Raw genomic sequence first — 20,767 nt, 5'->3', positions numbered from 1 at the left:
CTCACTGAATGTCTGTTTCCTCATTTGTAAGAAGGGATGACAATATTATTAGTGGAAGGAGCATGGACTTTTGAACCCATGCTTAAATTGGGTTTTTAATTTAAGCATGACCCAGGTTTAATTTAAGAGAGACCCAGGTTTAAATCCCACTTTTACTACCTGGAGGCCATGAGCCTGGAGTGGATGGAGCAGAGGGGAAGTGGGAGGAGAATTATCAGAGAGTGAAGGGGCCAGTGATCACATTGGGCTATAAGGCCATAGTAATGACCTTGGCTTTTACTCTGAATAAGATGGGAATCTGTTGCAATGTTTTGAGCAGAGGGATCACAAGATGTAATTCATGTTTTTAAGAGATTGGCCTGGCTGCTGGGTTGAAAATAGACTGAAGGGAAAAAAGGGTGGAAAGTCAGAGACCCAGATACACAGCCCCTGCAATAATCTAAGTGAGAGAGGATGACACTTTGGACAATGGTGTCACAGTGGAGATGGTGAGCAGGTCAGATTCTAGACGTACTTGCAGGTGGATTCTAAGGATTTACTGACTTGTCATAGTTTATCATTTATAACTGAGTAGGTTTTTTTTAAGAATTTGTCTAATCTACTAAACTGAATACTCTATGGGGCAAGAATCGTGTGTATTTTATGCACTGATGAGTTTCCCATGTTGAGCTCAGTTCAGCAATATTTGATGAAGGAATGAAACCTGAACATCTTGACAAGCCGTGTCTGCTGTGCCCCCTAAGCCAACTCTCTCTTGCCCACCCTCTCCACTTCTCTCCAGCAATTCTCTGACTCCACAGCAAAGTGACAGGTTGGTTGGAGCTGAGGCCAGAGAGGAATTGCAGCCACGGACAAAGAGGGAGAGTGGTGGAAAAGTGGTGTTGGAGGTGGAGGGGAAGGAAATGTGGAGATGAGAAGGACATACTCAAGCAGCAGCCTGAATAATCACAGGGCCAAAGAGAGGGAGGAGAGGAGTCACATGGAGGAGATGGGAGAGTCACATGGAGGATGGAGGCTGGGGCCAAAAGAAGACAGAAATGGAACCTGGGCTTTTCTGTGGCTAATGTTAGTGTAGGTGCTCCTCTGAGATCAGTCCACCAGTGACATTGATTCACTGGCATGGTAGGGATGGACTTTACATCAGAAATACTGGGAGGCATGGAGTTGTTAGCTTGTGCTCTTCCCTGGGCACCAATAGTCGAAGGTCTATATCTGACTTCCTCCTCTTTTGTAGCCTGGTGGTTCTGGGACAGGGTAGAAATGGATGTGGGTGGGTGGAGACATTGGGGTTGAAGAGGTGTCTAAGTCTGTTTTATGCTGCTGTAACAGAACACCACAGGCTGTGTAATTTATGAATGATAAAAGTTTATTTGGCTTGTCGTTCTGGAGGCTGGGAAGTCCAACAGCATGGCACCAACATCTGGCGAATGTCATCTCATGATGGAAGGCAGAAAGCAGAAGAGTGCATGAGACAGAAAGAGAAAGGGGAATAAACTTATCCTTTCTATCAGGACCCCATTACCATGATAACTAACCCATTCCCAAGATAATGGCATTAATTCTCCCATGAGGGCAGAGTCCTCATGACTTGATCCCCTCTTAAAGGCCCCACCTCCTAATACCACCACAATGGCAATTACATTTCAACATGAGTTTTGGAGGGGGCATTCAAACCATACCAAGGGGGCATGTGTATGTGAGAGCAAACTGAAGGAGGAGAATAGTGCATGTGGAGGTGCATGGCGGGGCATGAATGCACCTCAGGGACAACAAGAAAGCAGATCATGGCTGGGGTATGAAGGAGAAAAAGAGAAGGGATCACAGGAAATGGGGGCACAGAGAGAAGGGATCACAAGAAAGGGGGGCACAGAGATACAGGGATGCCCCTCTTCTGACCCATGTCATCTTCTTTTTTTTTTTTTTTTTTTTTTTTTTTTTTTTGAGAAAGAGTCTCACTCTGTCACCCAGGCTGGAAAGCGCAATGGCGCAATCTCAGCTCACAGCAACCTCTGCCTCCAGGGTTCAAGCAATTCTCCTGCCTCAGCCTCCTGAGTAGCTGGGATTATAGACACGTGCCACCACGACCGGCTAATTTTTGTGTTGTTAGTAGAGACGGGTTTCACCATGTTGGTCAAGCTGGTCTTGAACTCCTGGTGTGATCCGCCTGCCTCAGCCTCCCAAAGTGCTGGGATTACAGGCGTGAGCCACTGCACCCGGCCTTGTCATCTTCTTTTTAAATTAGTGATCCTCCCTCACCAGGCCATCACCCACCATCCCTGTCTTCAGCAGGGATTCACACATGTTCACAGGCTGTCTCATAGCTGTGGCCACAGCCCACGCTTACCCCTATACACAGCTCACCTTGCTACCTGTGACATATAAGTGCACACACTCCTTGCTTTCTCCACTGCCTCACCCATAGAAGAACCTCACACATTTGGTTGTCTAACATGTGTGTAAACACATGCATACATACGACACACACACACACACACACACACACACACACACACACACACACACCCGTCTAGGCACCAGGCAATTTAGTCTTAAGATCGCAAGTCCTGCCCTGAAATGTGACGCCTTTCTTGCCTCATCATTCTTCTCCTAGGCCTAATCTGGAGAGAGAAAATTCTGGTGATACTGGAATTTTATTCTAGCCCAACATACCTACAGGAGCCTTATTGTAGTCCTTCCAATCAAAGGCCCCCTTTGCTGCCTCTGAGCCTATTTTAAAGTCACTTAATCTGCTCTGAATCTGGATCTCTTTCTTTTTGTCATGCGCCATTCTTCAAAGCTTGTTGAAGCACTGTCTCTGCCAGAAACCTTCCCTGGTTAACTCTTCTTGACTCAGTTTCCTCCTGCCCTCTCCTCCCTATCTCCCCCTCCATCTGCTGCCATTCCAGCATCACACGAATGCCTGCCAGAGACAAGGCCTGCATGTCTTATCCATTCCCCTCCCCGTCACATACACACTCAATTCACAATCCCTGTGAGCTCCCTAAGGAGAGGACAGTGTCTCCTTCTCCCTCTGGTTATCCCCACAGCACCTCAGCCTGGGTTCTGCATAGGAATTACTCAGCCCTGGGTGTTTTGCCAGGAGATGGGATCTTTAAGGGCAGAGACCTGAGCAGACTAAGCATATCACATGTTTACCAAATGACTGCCTGAGGAATGGAGAGGGGTGTGGACGGGACAGTCAGAGAGTGGCTGGCTCAGGACTACAGGTGCTAGGGTGAGGCTTCTCACCCAGCAAGGCCAGTCTCAGAACTTGACACGGACCTCCCCTACTAAATGACCTGCAGGAGGTTGCCCTTGACTGGCTGGAGAAGATTTAGCACCTCTCCAGCTCTAGCAATGAATGAACTGCCCAGGCTGTTAATTGCCTTCAGTTCATTGTTAGCTTTTCTGCCAGGGACACTCTGGTGAGGAGAGGAGGTGAGAAGAACCTGGAACTATGGGGAAGGAGGGCAAGTCTTACAGGGCAGGGGCTTGCAGAGGCTGTATAGTCTAAAGGGGACCTGGGCAAATCAAGCCTCCGTACTGAGGGCCACCCCAGGAGGTGAGAGGCCAGAGGCCAGAGACAAAGGGCCAGGATAGAAAGAGATTTATATATTTGCTTGAAATCTATTTTTAATATCCCATAAACATGCTTTGCTCGTAACCAAGGCCTAACTGAGCTTCCAAGTAGGCTCATTCCAGCTGCCCCCCCAAGAATTCCTCAAAGGTTATCCCATCAAAGTCACAAAATCCTGAAATCAAGAGAGTCAGCAACTCCTGAGTCACAGGTCTGGCACTACCCAAGGGCTGTGATTGGGGCCATTTATGGCTGGCCCCCAAAAAAAGGGTGAAAATAGGTCAAGACAGGTTTTCCAAAGAGATAAGGAGAGATGGGCATGGAGGATGCCTGAACAGGCTGGAAACGCATCTCTCCTTCCTCCTCTCCCCAACTCCTTTCCACCCACAAGTTGGTCACTGACCAGCCTGCGGCGGCAGAGCTACCACCTCCAATGGCCCCAGTGAGGGCACTGAGGAACACAGCAGTGCGGCTAGAGCAAGGCAGTGTGCAGAAGGGAGGGTGGGCTGCTATTTGAATTCAAATTCTCACTGGCTCCTTTCACCTGATTTTCTTCAACTTGTGTTTCAGTTTCCCTGACTCTGCAACATACATCTGGGTGCCTCTCCTCCTTTCTGGGGAAATTGGGAAGGTTGGTATGATGACATCTGGAAGGTTCTTGCTGCTCCTTGGGAGACGGTTGCTGAGTCCAAGGGGTATTATCAGAACCCTTAGGCTGCAAGCCCAGCCCTTGTTCCCCAGCTGGGGGACCGTGTCGACCCCCAGGAGAGGAGGGTTGGGGGTGGTCTGCAATTAATCTGTGGTGATGTAAAAATCCTAATCCCAGCTACAGTTGGAATTTTCTGAGAACACAATGAGCTCAGGAACACCCCTTTCAAAAGAAAACCCCTCAAACTACTCCCAATGTAAACATTCACTCTACCAAGGGTTCCTTCACACACACACACACACACACACACACACACACACACACACAGTACCTTTGCACTTATTTTGTATGTATGTATGTATGTATTTTTAGAGACAAGGTCTCACTTTGTCACCCAGTCTGGAGTGCTGTGGCAGAGTCATCATCGCTCACTGCAACCTCGCACTCCTGGGCTCAAGCGATCCTCCTCCCTTGGCCTCCCAGAGCTCTGGGTATACCTTCATACTTATGAAGGGGAACTAAGTCACGGAGAAATAATATGGTGCTTAAGAATAAAGGGAGACACGAAGTTCCCCTTCCAGGAGGAGTCCAGGAAAATATTCCTTCCATCACTTTCCTCTCCAAATGAAATCCCACTGAAACAAGATGCCTGCCTCTGTTCAAACAATTATTGCAACATGCGGCACACATACTAATAGGAACAGAAGCTGAAAGGGAAAGGTTGGTTCTATAACCACAGGAAAGGACCTTTGCTCTCTCAAACTTCTTGGGAAGTTTACAGAGAATGTGATGGACACATTCATTTTCACAATAGTTAAAGGAAAGTTCTGCCCACTGATGTGAGTGAAATTCATTAATTTGTTTAATAAATATTTATTGAGCTACTTCTGCAGATCAGATATTGTGCAAGGTGCTGGGGTCCTTGTCCTCACAGAGTTTTCAGTCTAACTTACATTCTAGTGGAAGATACAGGTGAAACAAGTGATCACAGAGAAGCATAACAAAGGCTTTAGTGGGGGACTATCAATCAGAGCTCAGCGGGAGCACATACAGGAACACCAGCCAAAAACTGGGGGAGAAGAGCAATCTGAGGAGCCTTCCTGGAGGAGCTGACAGGATGAGAAGGACTTAGCTATGTGGAGAAGATGGAAGAAACAGCAGAGAATGCAGCATATGCAGAGGCTTAGAGGTGGAAGAAAGAGGGGGTGCCCCAGAGGAAATGAAATAAGTCCATCACATCTGAGATAATTCCTTGAGGCCCCTCCTCACCAAAGACCTCCCAGAGCTGTTGGGCACCCTGTCCTGAGCAAAAACCACCTCACCAGCCACACACAAGCTAATGAGATTCTGCTTTAGGATTTCTTCCTAAGTGTATCTGAAAGGCCTAGTAAGCTGCTGCTCCAGCTGCAGAAGATAAGGGCATTCGCCAGTGAGATTTGTGTGGGACTCCTTCCTTAGGGAGAAGGCTGTCTGGGCAGGTCAGGACTGAATACAGTGGTCAGAAGACCTGTGGGGGCCAGGCGCGGTGGCTCATGCCTGTAATCCCAGCACTTTGGGAGGCCGAGGCAGTCGGATCACCTGAAGTCACAGGTTTGAGACCAGCCTGGCCAACGTAGCAAAACCCCATTTCTACTAAAAATACAAAAATTAGCCAGGCGTGGTGGCACATGCCCGTAATCCAGCTACTTGGAAGGCTGAGGCAGGCGAATCGCTTGAACACAGGAGGTGGGGGTTGCAGTGAGCCAAGATCACACCACTGCACTCCACCCTGGGTAGCAGAGTGAGAGTCCACCTCAAAAAAAAAAAAAAAAAAAAAAAAAAAAAAAAAAAAAAAAAAGACCTATGGGTCTCCACCCTCTTGACACAGCATCCCACAGCTCCATTACAGAAGAGCAATCTTGACCCTTGGGTAGTGCTCCCCAACGCCCTCTGTCCACTGATGACCTCTGGTAGGATGGGTGAGGGAGGTACCCCATCCTTGTGCAGGTCCAGGGTGCACCTTAGGCAGCCAATGGCATTACACAGAAATTACCCACTGCTCTCCCCTGGGGTGCCCACCCAGGCCCCAACCTTAAACCACTTCTATCAGAGGCCAGCAAAACTATGGCCCACAAGCCTAACCTGGTCTACAGCCTAGTTTTGTAAATAACAATTTATTGGAAAAAGCCACACTCATTTATTTACATAGCACCTGTGGCTGCTTTTGTGTTCCAACAGCAGAACTGAGTCGTTGCCACAGAACTTGTATAACCTGCCTAAAATATTCACTGTCTAGGCCTTTACAGGAAAAGTTTGCAGACCCCTGAGCTAGATTATCTGAATACTTTAAATCCTTATATATGCCCCAACAAATCCCTGAAAGCCTGCCCCCAGAAATTCCATTTCACCAAATACCCCGGCCTTATAAGTTGTCAACACTGAGAAACATTGACAAGAAACATGAAGAACCCCCTTCTATGGAGATTTGTAAGAAGAGTTCTCAGTTGGGCATGGAGAAGGGGTCATCCAGCAGAGAAGCAGGAAGTGGACTTTTTCACCTCCTAGCCCTCTGTGTGAGCTGAGACCGGATGATGGAGGGATGATGTGGAAGGTTATGACAAAAGATTATGAAATCATGGCAGCTGTGAGAGAAGCATCAGGTGGAAACAAGAAGGGCTGGGTCACGGGGAGGCCAGGGCTTCTGGAGGAGCAGGAAGAGGGCTCCATGCTCAGCCCTTGTGACTCATGAAATAGAGAGGCCCTGTCAAGTGATGTCTTCTGATGGCTGCCTCATCAGCACCCCTAATCCTGCAGGGTTTGCACACTCCTCTTCTGTCCCACAATGACAGCTGAACTCAGTCAGGAGGCCCAGGCCGGCCTGTTGGACAGTACAGAAAGAGAAGCAAGTGAAGTCTGAGAGGGGGGAATTCTCCAGGGGGGGATTGGAGGATTGTAAATCTTCAAGGGCCTCCAGAGGTCATCTTGATCACCCCTTCTCCAGCAAGAGCTGCACACACCCAGCTGGAGGGAGGAAGGATATTTTGGGTGGACGGAGTCTGAGGCTGACAACTAGACTGTTAGTAAGTTCTTCCCAGGCCCATCCCTGCTGGGTGGCTCAGAGGATGGACTCTGGAGCCAGAGGGTCTGGGTTTGAATCCCAGCTCTGCCCCTTCCTTGCTCTATAACTTGGGTGAAATAATTTAACCTTTCTATTCCTCTGTTTCCATGCTTGTAAAGTGGGAATAAAATGATATCTTGATGTTTGGGGCAAGGACTTTCAAACTCCAGAGTATTCATTAAGCACCTAATGTGTGTCAGACACTGTGTTAGGCATTTAACACAGGTTGGGTCATTTGGAAGGACTCAGCCGGAGACCGTGAGACCATTTATATGTGCCAGTGTCTTCATGTTGGGAGCACTTATTCCACTGTCTTCTTCCTAGGACTGATTTTCGGGCCTCAAGGGTAACTGTAGGAGGTCCTTCCCTGGTTACTCCTGCTGCGCCTGCCCCTCCTAACCATGGCTGGACTGTCCCTGTCCCAGGCTAAGCCAGCTGCAGTTGGCTGTGATTAATGGCCTCTATTAACAGCAAGTTGTAAACTGATAAAGTACACAGTGCCCATGAAAATCTCACCTCTGCTAAATTCCACACCAGTGAGTACTTACTCCTTAACCCCCGAAACCTCCTGCCTTGCCTCGTTTGAGAGACATAGTGACAGAGAGTACACCTTTAACCAGAGGAATTCAAAATGCCTTGGAAGCAGGAAACAACTCCATGAATTCTTTGGGGGAAAAGCCCAAATCCTAAAACCTGGTTTCACATGGAGTGGAGCCTAGGCGAGATGAAATTAAAGTCCAGGTCAAGGAAGGTAGTTTCAATCAGCCTCAAAGAAATCCCAGAGCCAACTGGCCAACAGCTGCGTGCCCTTGGGTAAGTCACTTTCTCCTATCTGGGCCTCGGTTTCATTATTTGTTAAATGAGAGGTTTGGTTCAAAATGATTCCTAGTCTCCTACTCTACTCGGCAGACTTAAGAGCGGTTCTGAATACAGGAATCTTTACCAAAAAAAAAAAAAAAAAAAAAAAAAAAATCACACTCCAGGCCTTAGTTCCATTCCTTCTTTCCCTGAGAGAATCTTTGCAAAGCAGCAGCCCTCTTCCACCTGGTCATCCCCTGCCTCTCTACACTCATCCAGCCAAGTAATTAGCTTGGTTTCCTTCAAGTCAATTATCACCATTAAAAAAACAAACAAACAAACAAAAAACAATGAAATTGGCATTCCTTGGTGAGTAAACGTGCAGGCCAGACAGGGATGTGAGATCCACAATTCAAAGAAACCCTTGCACACTCCTGACGTGTTCTTTCCGAACACTCTTCGGAGTCTCAGTTTTATCCTCAAAAGGCAGAGAGGCGCAGGTTTTAGCTTAACCCACTGCGCAGGTGAGAAAACTGAGGTCCAGGGTGACGTCATGATCTAGGGCGAGCGGCAGGTGGGAGATTAGAACCCGAGAGGCTGCCGCGGCCTCTGCTCCCTCCCTGCTAGGCTCTGTCCCACAATGCACCCGAGAGCAGGAGCTGAAAGCCTCTAACACCCACAGATCCCTCTATGACTGCAATGTGAGGTACGTAATCTCTCTCGTGTGAAGTGTTTATGTGTAAAAACAGCGGATTAGTGTCTCCGTGCTGCTATGTCTTCTGGGATCAGAAGGACCCAGCCTCCTGCCCCTCCCTGGGACGCGGAGCGGTGACCTCCAGGCGCGGTAAATCGCCGCGGCGCCTGGGACCCAGCGGCCAGTGCACCCCCGCGGTGGGTCCCAGCGGGCTTTCCACGACCTTCGCCTCACGCTTTTAGCCCGCCGTCCGGCAGGGGGCCTGGGAAGTCCTCCCAGCCAGGATCCATTTCAAACTCTCCCACCTCCACCTGCCGCACCGCCCCCCGCAATCCTTCCAGGCTCGGCTCCCGGGTGGGGAAGGACGGAGCGAGCGGGCGGCTGGCTGGAGGCCCGAGTCTCGGGGATTGGTTACATTTCTCCCCGGGTTAATTACCACGGGGAGGGAATCTGAGCTGTGCCTGTCTCGGGCACAACAAGCCTTGTCGCCTGGTGAGAGAATCTCAATCTTACTCAGGTAACACCTGCTGGCCCGGCACAGAAATGTTCTCATTCTGCGGGACGCCACCTCCCACAGAGGACTGCAAACGCCCCAGGCGGCCTGGACCCGGAGTGGAGCCTCCCGGGGTGGAGACTGGACGGGGTGGTGACGGGATTGGACGGCTGGAGTGTGCGGTCACTAGGGGGTGGGGCTAGGGCGGGCCACGTTTGGACTGCGAGGCCCGGGCCTGAAAGGAATCCCTCTTTGGCCGGCGCCACCCTGTTCAACCCTGATGCAATACACTTGCCCTTTGCGTTTACCCGGGGCAAATATTTAACCTTTCCATTTTTTGCACTGACTTAATGAGTCTCGGTGTCTACCACAGGGCTTGACACATAGCAGACATCCGATATCTGTTTGTGAATGCTCAAGCCCGTCAGCGTGTCTGTCTCCTAGGGGAGTCGTGTTCTCAGACTTGTCAGCATTTCAGCACCCAGTTATGACATGTCATGTGGGCTACTACTGGTAAAAACTGAGCATCCAGATGAGTGCATTTTTCACTTTTAAAGGTAAATTGAAATAGATTGAAGATTATTTCCATTATAATGCTGCTCACTCTCTTGAGTCTGATGTGCTGTCATAAATGGAAGAGAAAAGGGTGGAGGTTGTAGGGTACATGTTATTTGGCTCTTGTTCTAGTAATAGCTTTTGATTTCATCTTGGGGGATGACATTGGGCTGATAATCAAGGTGTCCTGACCTTCCTGCCAAGGAGCAGGCTTGAGGCCAACTTAGGTCCAAGGGACTGATTCTGTCATCTGGACTTTGAATGCTGAATAGTGACCTGAGAATAAGGGAAAAATCCATCACAGCCAATGCACCCCCATGGCATGCCAGGGGAGGAAGCTCTGGTTTCTGCCTTCTTCAAGTCTTGTTCTTCAGTCGTTTCATAGATTATATGAATTTCCCACTTCTTTCCAACAAACTCTTTTTTTTTCCTTAAACGGTCAGTTTCTGTTGCTTAAGACCAAAGCACCTTAACTGCAGGAGTCACAGCTGAAGATTGGGAATATGTAACACCACCTAGCTTCTCTGGGAAGCAATTCAGTAGATTGTGTTCAGCACTAAAGAATCCTTAGTCTACCTATTATTTTAAAGATGAAGAACTAAGGTTCCAAGAAGTTCAGTGACCAAGTCAAGGTCACATAGCCAGATTCACAGGATCTCAGAGTTAAAAGGGAACTCAGAGTCATTCATCAAACTTTTCATCTGATATTTAATCTCCCTCTGAAATAGCTTCAGCAAGTGCTCATCCAAAAAAAAAATGTGTGAACACCCTCACTGATAGCAAGAAATTTCTCTGGGCAACTCATTTCTCTTCCACATGACATCCCCTCAGAGAGCCAAAGACTGCTATCACCACCAAGATTTTTCTTTCCCAGGACAATGTTCCATTTCCTACAGCTGTTCCTCATGTGGCAGGGTTTGAGGCCTTTACCATACACCATACTGGCCACTGTCCTCTAAATGCATTCTGGTCTGTGTTCCTTGGAGCATGTGTCCGTAACATGGAACAGAGCACCCAGCTGTAGGCTACTGGTGCAGAGTGGGTGGATCACCACTACCCTTATTCTAGAGAAAATGAGTTCTTAGGTCTTAAGTTCCTCTAATTCAGCCTGAGGTCAAATTAGCTTGTTTGTTCTTGTCAGTCACGTTACACTCGTACTATTCACTAAGCTATCCTCAGTTACTTTTACCTGTCCCTCTCATATTTGTGTAAGTGGGAAACTTAGATTCAGCCTTCATTTCAACCTTACAGTATCTTTTTGGATCCTGATATTCCCTGCTCCTGTACCCTCCTCCCCAACCCACCTCTATACCTACACACAGCTTTGCAGTTTCCGCAATTTTCTAAGCATGTGCTCTCTCCTCATCTAAGTTCTTTACACAAATGTGTGCATTCTAAAACCCTCCCTCTAATCGCTTTAGCCCAGGAGTTCAGACCAGCTCGGGCAACGTAGTGAGACCCCATCTCTAAAAAAAAAAAAAAAAAAGTAATATAATTAGCTGGGCATTATGGCACAAGCTTGGAGTCCCAGCTACTTGGGAGACTAAGGTGGGAGGATCACTTGAGCCCAAGAGGTCAAGGCTGCAGTGAGCCATGATAGCACCTCTGTACTCCAGCCTGGGTGACACAGTGAAACCTTGTCTAGAAAATAAGTAAATAAAAATAAAAATAATGCCCCCTGCCCCAGGATTGTTTACCAGGACACAAAAACCCTTTTATTTTATTTTAATTTTTTGAGACAGAATCTCACTTTGCTGCCCAGGCTAAAGTACAGTGGTGCAATATCAACTAACTGCAAACTCTGCCTCCTAGGTTCAAGCGAGTCTCCTGCCTCAGCCTCCTGAGTAGCTGGGATTACAGGCATGCGCCACCACACCCAGCTAATTTTTGCATTTTTAGTAGAAACGGGGTTTCACCATGTTGGCCAGGCTGATCTTGAACTCCTGACCTCAAGTGATCCACCTGTATCAGCCTCCCAAAGTGCTGAGATTACAGGCGTGAGCCACCATGCCTGGCCTAAAAACCTTTTAAAATTAGAAAATCCCTGTAAGAATCTGAAAAAGTTTAAGATCATCTTTATTTCCCTCCCCTAAAATACACCTGTGTATATTCATACAAGATTCATACAAGATTGTGTATGGGGATAACACTGAGAACCCTATTTCTCAGCAATTCTACTCCTAGGTATATACCCCAGAGAGATGAATGCACATGTCCACCAAAAGACATTTACAATAGTAGTAGCTTTGTTCACAATAGCCAAAGAAAACAATGCAAATGTCCAGCTGCAATAGAATGGATAAGTGAATCGTGGTATATTCATACAATGGAATATTATTTAGCAATGCAAATGAATGAACTGCTACATAGAACAATATGGATAATTTTCACAAACATAATGATGACCCAGAAAAGCAAGGCACAGATGAAGAGTAGTTACTGTATGATTTAATTACAGGAAGTTCAAAACAGGCAAAAACCAATCTATGTTGAAAAAACTCAGAATACTAGTTACCTTCACAGTGAAGGTAGTAACTAGGGCACGAAGAGCTTTCTGGGGGAACTGGGAATGATTTATATCTATATTTACACAAGTTTATGCAAAGGTAATCCCATCCTTGCAAAAATTATATCAGTAAGAAACTTATGGCAGTAGGGGAGATCTGATCTAGCTAAACTTCATCTTGCCTTTGGCCTTCAAGCTGCCCTTAATTTTTCCTAGGCTTAGGCCAAACTAACTTTGGGAGACATTTAGTTTATAGTTTAAAGGATAATAGCCTATCCCCCAAACTCAACCACCTTTGCAAAGCTAATGAGAGACCACCAGGCTAGCAGGATAGAGAAGCCTGAATTCAGCTAAGGTGTAGACATAAATGGTCGCCAGTCATTATTCTGGAAGTCACAAGATATGCAACTTCCCCAGTGACTCCTGCAGATAACGTCACTGTTGTAGAACCCAAGAACAGCTTTTTCAGGTTTTTTCCATGTCTAACACCATGCTCCACCTGGACTCGCCAGCCGCCCCTGTGGCCCCATGGAGAAGCAACTCAACCCAAGAGGACAGCTTTGACTCCCTATAATTTTATCTCCGACCCAACCAATCAGCATTCCCCATGCCCTAGCCCCCTGCCCACCAAACTACCTTTGAAAAACTCCTAACCTCTGAGCCTTCAGAGAGACTGATTTGAGTAATAACTCTGTCGCCCGCGTGGCGTGGCTGGCCCCGCATCAATTAAACTCTTTGTGTACTGCAGTGCCACGGTCTTCAGGAATTTTGTTTGTACAGCTGGAAGGAAAAACCCATCAGGCGGTTATAGTAACAATTCATTGAACCCTTCAATTAAGATTTGTATACTTTATCCTATACAAATTGTAACTCAATATGAAGGTTTAAAAAATAAAAAAATACATCTCTATCAAAATAAAATCTCTCCCAAATACACTTAGAATCAACTTGCATACACATAGCACACTTTGTAAAATAGTGATCTTGTTTAGTGCTCTCACTTTACAGTTAGGGAAACAAATTCAGGAGGAAAGAGCTGCCCTGCTCAGAATCACACAGAGATTTAACAGCAGAGCTGCGGCAGAACCAGGGTTCCTGGCTCCTAGACCTGAGTTTTCCAATGTAAAAATTCATGCAGCTGTACACTGGGGCTTATATACTTTATGGTAGATCTGTTATACCTCCATTTTAAAAAATTAAAAAACAAAATATATGACGGGACTAGGGTTTATTTTCTCCCTTTTGACCACTGGTAGAAGAGTCTTTAATAAAACTATAAAAAGTCAGGTGGGCATGGTGGCTCACACCTATAATCCCAGCACTTTGGGAGACTAACGCAGGCGGGTCACTTGAGGCCAGGAGTTCAAGACCAGCCTGGGCAACATGACAAAACCCCGTCTCTACTAAAAACACAAAAATTAGCCGGGCATGGTGGCAGGTGCCTGCAGTTTCAGCTACTCGGGAGGCTGAGGCACAAGAATTGCTTGAACCCAGGAGGCAGAGGGTGCAGTGAGCTGAGATCATGCCACTGCATTTCTAGCCTGGGTGACAGAGTGAGACTCTGTATCAAAAAAAAAAAAAGAATCATAGTCTTTTTTTTTCCAAGTCCAATACTAGATGGACTTGGAAAAAGATTGTGAAGCTCATACACAGTATCGTGGGTAGTGACCAACTAACTGGGGCCAGTGGTGTGGGTGGTAAAAGGAATATACCAAGACAGTCATAGGAAAGAAAGGCAGATTTATTAGAGAAAGTAGAAAAACACATTGCAAGAAAGCAACGGACAAATTAGCAAGAGAGGAGCTGACTGCAAGGAGACAAAGGTTTGCCGGGGATTTTATAGGATGGTGCCTGTGCTGTGTGCTGGAGGGGGCTACATGCAATACTGATAATGTCAAGGTTGCAGTGAGCTAACTTGCATTTTTCTATCAGCTGAAGGTCTGGTGATAAGTCGGTCGCAGAAAGATTGTGAGATATTTGCACGGGAGGGCTCTATGTCCTGGACCACGAAGAAAGGCAGACTTACAGCGTATCTGCTTTTTCTTTTTGCTTTCCCCTGCTCCTGACAGTCTAACTTCTTTTCCCTAATTAGGACTCCATGCATAAGTGATCAGGGGACATGAGTGGAGAACAATTGCTTACAATCAAGGCCTCCATTTCAGTCTGCCATTCTGGCTAAGCAAGGTCCCACCCTTTAAAATTAAAGGACAATTGGCCAGGCACGGTGGCACACGCCTATAATCCCAGCACTTTGGGAGGCCGAGCTGGGAGGATCACGAGGTCAGGAGTTCAAGATCAGCCTGGCCAACATGGCGAAACCCCATCTCTACTAAAAATACAAAAATTAGCTGGGCGTGGTGGCGCACACCTGTAATCCTAGCTACTCGGGAGGCTGAGGCAGGAGGATCCCTTGAACCAGGGAGCCAGAGGTTGTAGCGAGTCAAGATCGCGCCATTGCACTCCAGCCTGGCGACAGAGCAAGACTCTGTCTCAAAAAAAAAAAAGAAAGAAAAAGAAAATTAAAAGACAATTCTCTTTGGCAGAAACCATAGACATAAAACATTATCTGCATTTCTGTTCTCTTTTTTCTGTATTCACCATGAGCATTACACCCTTGGCTCCAGGTAGCAAACCTATACCTTCTTCTATCTCTAAGTTACTAATATAACTTTATAAAAGAGCCCTTTCTGAGTATTCTTAGAATTTTTGGCAGACTTCAGCTCATCCTGGACTTTTATCTCTCCTAAATATTACCCTCATGATAATGAATATATATATATATATATATATATATATAATTTTCTCTTAAAAAGTGATAAAATGTGATGTGTCCTCATTAAAGAAAAATTTTACTGGAAAAGTAAAATAAAAAACAAGTTACCCATTGTCCTTTCCTTATCCATTCCTGTGAAAAACAAGCAAACAATCTGTTTTTTCCCTGCTTAGCATCCAATTGGGCCTGACATGAGTTAATTACGGTATCTCACCCTCCCTAGGGAGACTGCCAATCAGAGTTATTCATCAACCTGGCCACAATAATCGGTTAATGGATCAACTTGTGACGCAAGCAAAGACAATTAGAGTCTTCCCTGAGACTGGCCACATGGACGCTATGATAAAGAGGGTCACTTTTTCTTTGATGTTCATAAGCCACAACAATGCGGGGCTGAGGTCATTGGCAGCATCTTTCCAACTGTGTGAAATGATCCTGTCTGAGAATAAAGCACGTTCCCAGAGGAAAGCCGAGCCAAGAAATGGAGACAGTGATAGAGCCCTCAGGATACCATTTCTCTATTGGATCCCATTGTGCCTGAAGCTGGTTCTACACATTAATTTCCCAGTTATGTGTGCTAATGCATTACTATTTATTATTTTTATTAGGTTGAACCATATGAAACCACCATTTTTGTAAGTCAAAAGCAGTCAAATACTGGCAATTTTATATGGCTCAGCTTAATAATCAAAGCAAAATTGAGTTAGATTGCAAGTTAGCATCTTGACTAATTCAGGTAGGCTTTTAAAAAATTAACTTTTGAGACAGTCGTAGATTTGCAGGAAGTTATAAGAAATAATATACAAAGATCACTTATAACATCTTATTAAATGATAGTACAGTATTAAAACCAGGTTATTAACGTTTCCATAATCAAGATACAAAACATTTCCATCACTACAAGGATCCCTTACTTTGCCTTTTATAGTCATATCCACCTCCACCCGCTCATTAACACCTGCTAATGTGTTTTCCATTTCTACAATTTTGCCATTTCAAGAATTTATATAAATGGAATCATACAGTATGCAAACTTTTGGGATTGGTATTTTTACTCAACATAATTCTCTGAAGATTCATCAAAGTTGTTGCATCTATCAATAGTTGATTCCTTTTTTGTTTGTTTTTGGCTGAGTTCTATTTCACGGTACAGACATACTGAAGTTTGTTTAACTGTTCACCCATAATAGGACATCTGAGTTGTTTCCAGTTTAGGGCTATTTTAAATAAAGTTGCTACAAGCATTCATGCACACGTTTTTATGTGAACATAAGTCTTCTTTTTTCTAGGCTAAATGCCCAGGAGTGCAATTGCCTAGAGTCGTGTGGTAGTTCCAGGTTTAGTTTTAAAGAAACTGCCAAACTGTTTTCCAAAGAGGCTGTGCCGTTTTCTATCCCCACCAGCAATGTATGAGTGAGCCAATCCCTTCACATCCTCACCAGCATTTGGAATTGTCACTATTTTTTTTTTATTTTAGCCATTCTGATAGATACATAGTTAGCCATTCTGATAGATATGTAGTGATAGCTCATTATTTTTATTTCTAAAATATTTTTTATTTATTATTTATTTACTTCTATTTTTTGAGACGTAATCTCACTCCGTCACCCAGGTTGGAGTGCAGTGGCGTGATCTTGGCTCACTGCACCCTCTGCCTCCTGGGTTCAAGCAATTCTCATGTCTCAGCCTCTCAAGTAGCTGGGACTACAGGCACACGCCACCATGCCCTGCTAATTTTTGTATCTTTAGTAGAGACGGGGTTTTGCCATGTTGACCAGGCTGGTTTCAAACTCCTGACCTCAGGTGATCTGCCCGCCTCAGCCTCCCAAAGTGTTGGGATTATAGGTGTGAGCCACCGCGCCCGGCCTTGTTTTTTATTTTTTTATTTGACATAGGGTCTCACTGTGTCGCCCAGGCTGGAGTACAGTGGCATGACCATGGTTCACTGCAGCTTCAACTTCCCAGGCTCAGGTGATCGTCCCATCTCAGCCTCCTGAGTAGCTGGTACTACAGGCGTGCACCATCACACCCAGCTAATTCTTTGTATTTCTGGTAGAGACAGGGTTTTGCCATATTGCTCAGGCTGGTCTCTAGCTCCTGGGCTCAAGCAATCTGCCTGCCTCAGCCTCCCAAAGTGCTAAGATTACAGGCATGAGCCACCACACTCTGCCTTCATTATTTTAATTTACATTTCCCTAATGGCTGTGACGTTGAATCTTTTCATGTACTTATTTGCCATATGTATATCCTCTTTAGTGAAATGTCTCTGTCTTTTGCCTACTTTCTAATTGTATTTTTTTTTTACTGTTGAGTTGTAAAAGTTCTTCATATATATTACATACCAGTCCTTCATTAGATATGTCATGTGCAAATATTTTCTTTCTCGTCTCTTAACAGGGTCTTTCACAGAGCAAAAGTTTTTAATTTTGATGAAGTCCAATTAACCATTTGTTTTCTTTTGTGGATTGTGCTTTTGGTGTTAAGAACTCTTTGCCTAGCCCTAGATTCCAATAATTTTCTCTTATGATTTTTTTCTAAGTATTTTTAAAGTTTTCAGTTTTACATTTAAGTCTATGATTCTTTTTGAGTTATATTTTTTACAAGGTATGAGACTTCAGTCAGGGTTTTTTTTTTTTTTTCCCTATGTATGTCCAGTTGTTCCGGCACCATTCATTGAAAGGCTATCTTTCCTCCGCTTCATTGCTTATACACTTTTGTCAAAAATCAATGGGGCATAAGGCGAGGCACAGTGGCTCATGCCTGGAATCCCAGCACTTTGGGAGGCCGAGGTGGGAGGATTGCTTGAACCCAGGAGTTCAAGATCAACCTGGGCAATATAGCAAGACTCTGTCTCCACAAAAAATAAAAATAAAAAAATTAGCCTGGCATGGTAGCACATGCCTATAGTCCCAGCTACTCAAGAGCCTGGAGGTCAAGGCTGCAGTGAGCCATGATTGTGCCTGGGTCACAGAGACCCTGTCTCAGGAAAAAAAAAAAAAAAATCAATTGGGCATATTTGTTTAGATCTATGCCTGGGTTCTCTGTTCTATATGTCTATACCTCCACTAATACCACACACTCTTGATCACTCATATGTATTAAAAGGTTCCTGGCATGTAGTAGATGCTCAATACATGGAATTATTATTCAATCACCCTATAAATATATACTACTATTCACATAGTTACTAATATTCTTTAATTTTCAGCAAAAATGCCCCTTATCTATTTTAGTAACTTGAAGTTCTCTTAGCCTTAGAAATGGCTATCATAAAGTCTCTGCATTAAAAAACCAAAAAGTGCATAAGTAGAATTTTATTTAGAGGAAAATTGCTTCCAAATGATAGAACCTGATCTGTTAATACTCAGGGAAAGGATCTAGAAGTCACTGGAGCAGCACTTCCCAAAGTGTGTTCCTTGGTACTCTAGCCTTGAAGGCTGCTCTTCGAAAAAGAGTTTGTGGTCAAAACTGTGGGGAAACACTACACAAAATAATGTATTGTAAGGGATTCACAATATGTTTTATCACATCAAAGCATCTGAAAAGTCCTGAAGTAAAATATGCCTATTTCATTTACTTTAAGGTTCCCCGAACTAATTTATTCATAGAAACCACATTTTCCCCACATACAGTTTGCATCCCACATACAATAACATCCTATGATACTGTTCCTGGGAGCATATTCCCTGAAGTGTATTTTGAAAAATGCTACCATAGAGTATTATCAGAAACACTTCAGAGTATCAGATCTGGTAGGAAACTTAGGGCCTTCTAAACCAGCCATTTTTGAAGTATGGTCTGAGGACTCTGTGGGTCTCCAAGGCTCTTTTAGGGAAACAAGTTCTAACTATTTTCCTAGAAATACTAAGATGTTATTTGCTTTTTTCACTCATTCTCCTACAAGCATATAGTGGGGTTTTCGGAAGGTTAGATGACATGTGATATTGCAACTGACTGAAGGCAGAACCAGATGTGAAAATGCACCTGTTTTCTATTCAACCAGATGGTAAGGGGATATACAAAAAAAAAATTAATGCCACTCTTCGTGCTAAATTTTATCTTTTGGAAAATATAGGGGTTTTTTTGACCAAAAGACGCTTATGCATACAATGAATTTATTGTTATTTCAAAACAAATAAATATGTTTAAATTTTCTGTTTTAGTTTTAATACTGCAAATATTGATAGGACCCAGATAAACAAAATTCTTTAGGGTCCTCAATATTTTTTTTTTTTTTTGGAGACAGAGTCTCACTCTGTCCCCCAGGCTGGAGTGCAGTGGCATGATCTCGGCTCACTGCAAGCTCCGCCTCCCGGGTTCACGCCATTCTCCTGCCTCAGCCTCCGCAGTAGCTGGGACTACAGGCACCTGCGACCACGCCCGGCTCATTTTTTGTATTTTTAGTAGAGATGGGGTTTCACCGTGTTAGCCAGGATGTTCTCGATCTCCTGACTTCGTGATCTGCCCACCTCAGCCTCCCAAAGTGCTGGGATTACAGGCCTGAGCCACTGCGCCCAGCCCTAGGGTCCTCGATTTTAAAAAAAAAAAAAAAATTTCCCCAGTATAACCTCAATATTTTTTTTTTGAGACAGATTTTCACTCTTGTTGCCTAGGCTGAAGTGCAATGGCGCGATCTCGGCTCACCACAACCTCTGCCTCCTGGGTTCAAGCGATTCTCTTGCCTCAGCCTCCTGAGTACCTGGGATTACAGGCATGTGCCACCATGCCTGGCTAATTTTGTATTTTTAGTAGAGACAGGGTTTCTCCATATTGGTCAGGCTGGTCTTGAACTCCCGACCTCAGGTGATCCGCCTGCCTCAGCCTCCCAAAGTGCTGGGATTACAGGCGTGAGCCAACATGCCTGGCCTAACCTCAATAATTTTTAAGAATGTAAAAGGACACAAGACCTGAAAGTTTAAAAACTGCTCTTCTAAACAAATCTTTTCAGGGGGAAACTGAGGCCCAATGGACTAGTGCTTTGACAGGAGTAAGTTCAAACTAGAAGCCGGAACTTATGATTTCTGGCCCCAGGGCCTTACCATAACCCTACCCTGCCTCCTACTCACTACTGCGAGCTGAAAAACAAAAACCCAAGATATTTGATGAAGTTAAGAACACTGAAACCAAAAAGTTAGCTGTTATCCTCTATTTATGCAGTGCCATGAGGTCTACACCCAAAAGAGCACATGCAGTGGTGGGAGCTGAACCAGGAAAAATACAACAGAGGGAGCAGAACATGTAGCACCCAGGACTGTACACATCAGGGTAGCTAATGGGCAACTGCTGGTAGAATGCCTGACATAAACTGGGTCTAGTATATCAATTTAAATATGAGTGTGCATATTACATCTGTGTGTGCATTTATATAGAAAAAAATAGTAAACCAGGTAGAGTTTGTCATTTATTAAGCTTTAGGTAGAATAATGCTTTTATTCTAAGTTTTGTTCAATTAAAATGTAATTCAGACAGGCGTACGGGCTTATGCCTATAATCCCAACACTGGGAGGTCAAAGCAGAAGGATCGCTTGAGGTCAAGAGTTTGAGACCAGCTTGGGCAACACAGCAAAACCCTCATCTCTTTAAAAAAAAAAAAAAAAAAGGTTTAATTGCTATTTGCTTAAGTGT

General features: G+C 44.9%; 1 protein-coding gene across 2 annotated transcripts in view, besides 1 other annotated feature; it reads left to right on the top strand.

The window, feature by feature from the left end:
• Positions 1 to 8,758: 8,758 nt before the first annotated feature.
• TMEM9 (transmembrane protein 9) overlaps positions 8,759 to 20,767 on the top strand; it is a 36,787-nt gene continuing 24,778 nt past the window's right edge. For both annotated transcript variants that reach the window (NM_001288564.2, XM_011509386.3), the window contains exon 1: positions 8,759 to 8,827. The gene's annotated coding sequence lies outside the window, so the exon portion shown is untranslated. The remainder of the gene's footprint in view (positions 8,828 to 20,767) is intronic.
• Positions 8,910 to 9,069: an enhancer, noted in NCBI's record as "active region_2310". NCBI's record gives its function as "activates an Ori minimal core promoter by ATAC-STARR-seq in GM12878 lymphoblastoid cells {active_cell/tissue: GM12878}" and the evidence as "EXISTENCE:reporter gene assay evidence [ECO:0000049][PMID:35858748]".

Source organism: Homo sapiens, chromosome 1 (assembly GCF_000001405.40).
Source record: "Homo sapiens chromosome 1, GRCh38.p14 Primary Assembly".
In the NCBI taxonomy this organism is placed as follows: Eukaryota; Metazoa; Chordata; class Mammalia; order Primates; family Hominidae; genus Homo; species Homo sapiens.
The sequence above is the reverse complement of the archived record's forward strand: the minus strand, read 5'-3'. Positions and strand labels throughout refer to the sequence as shown.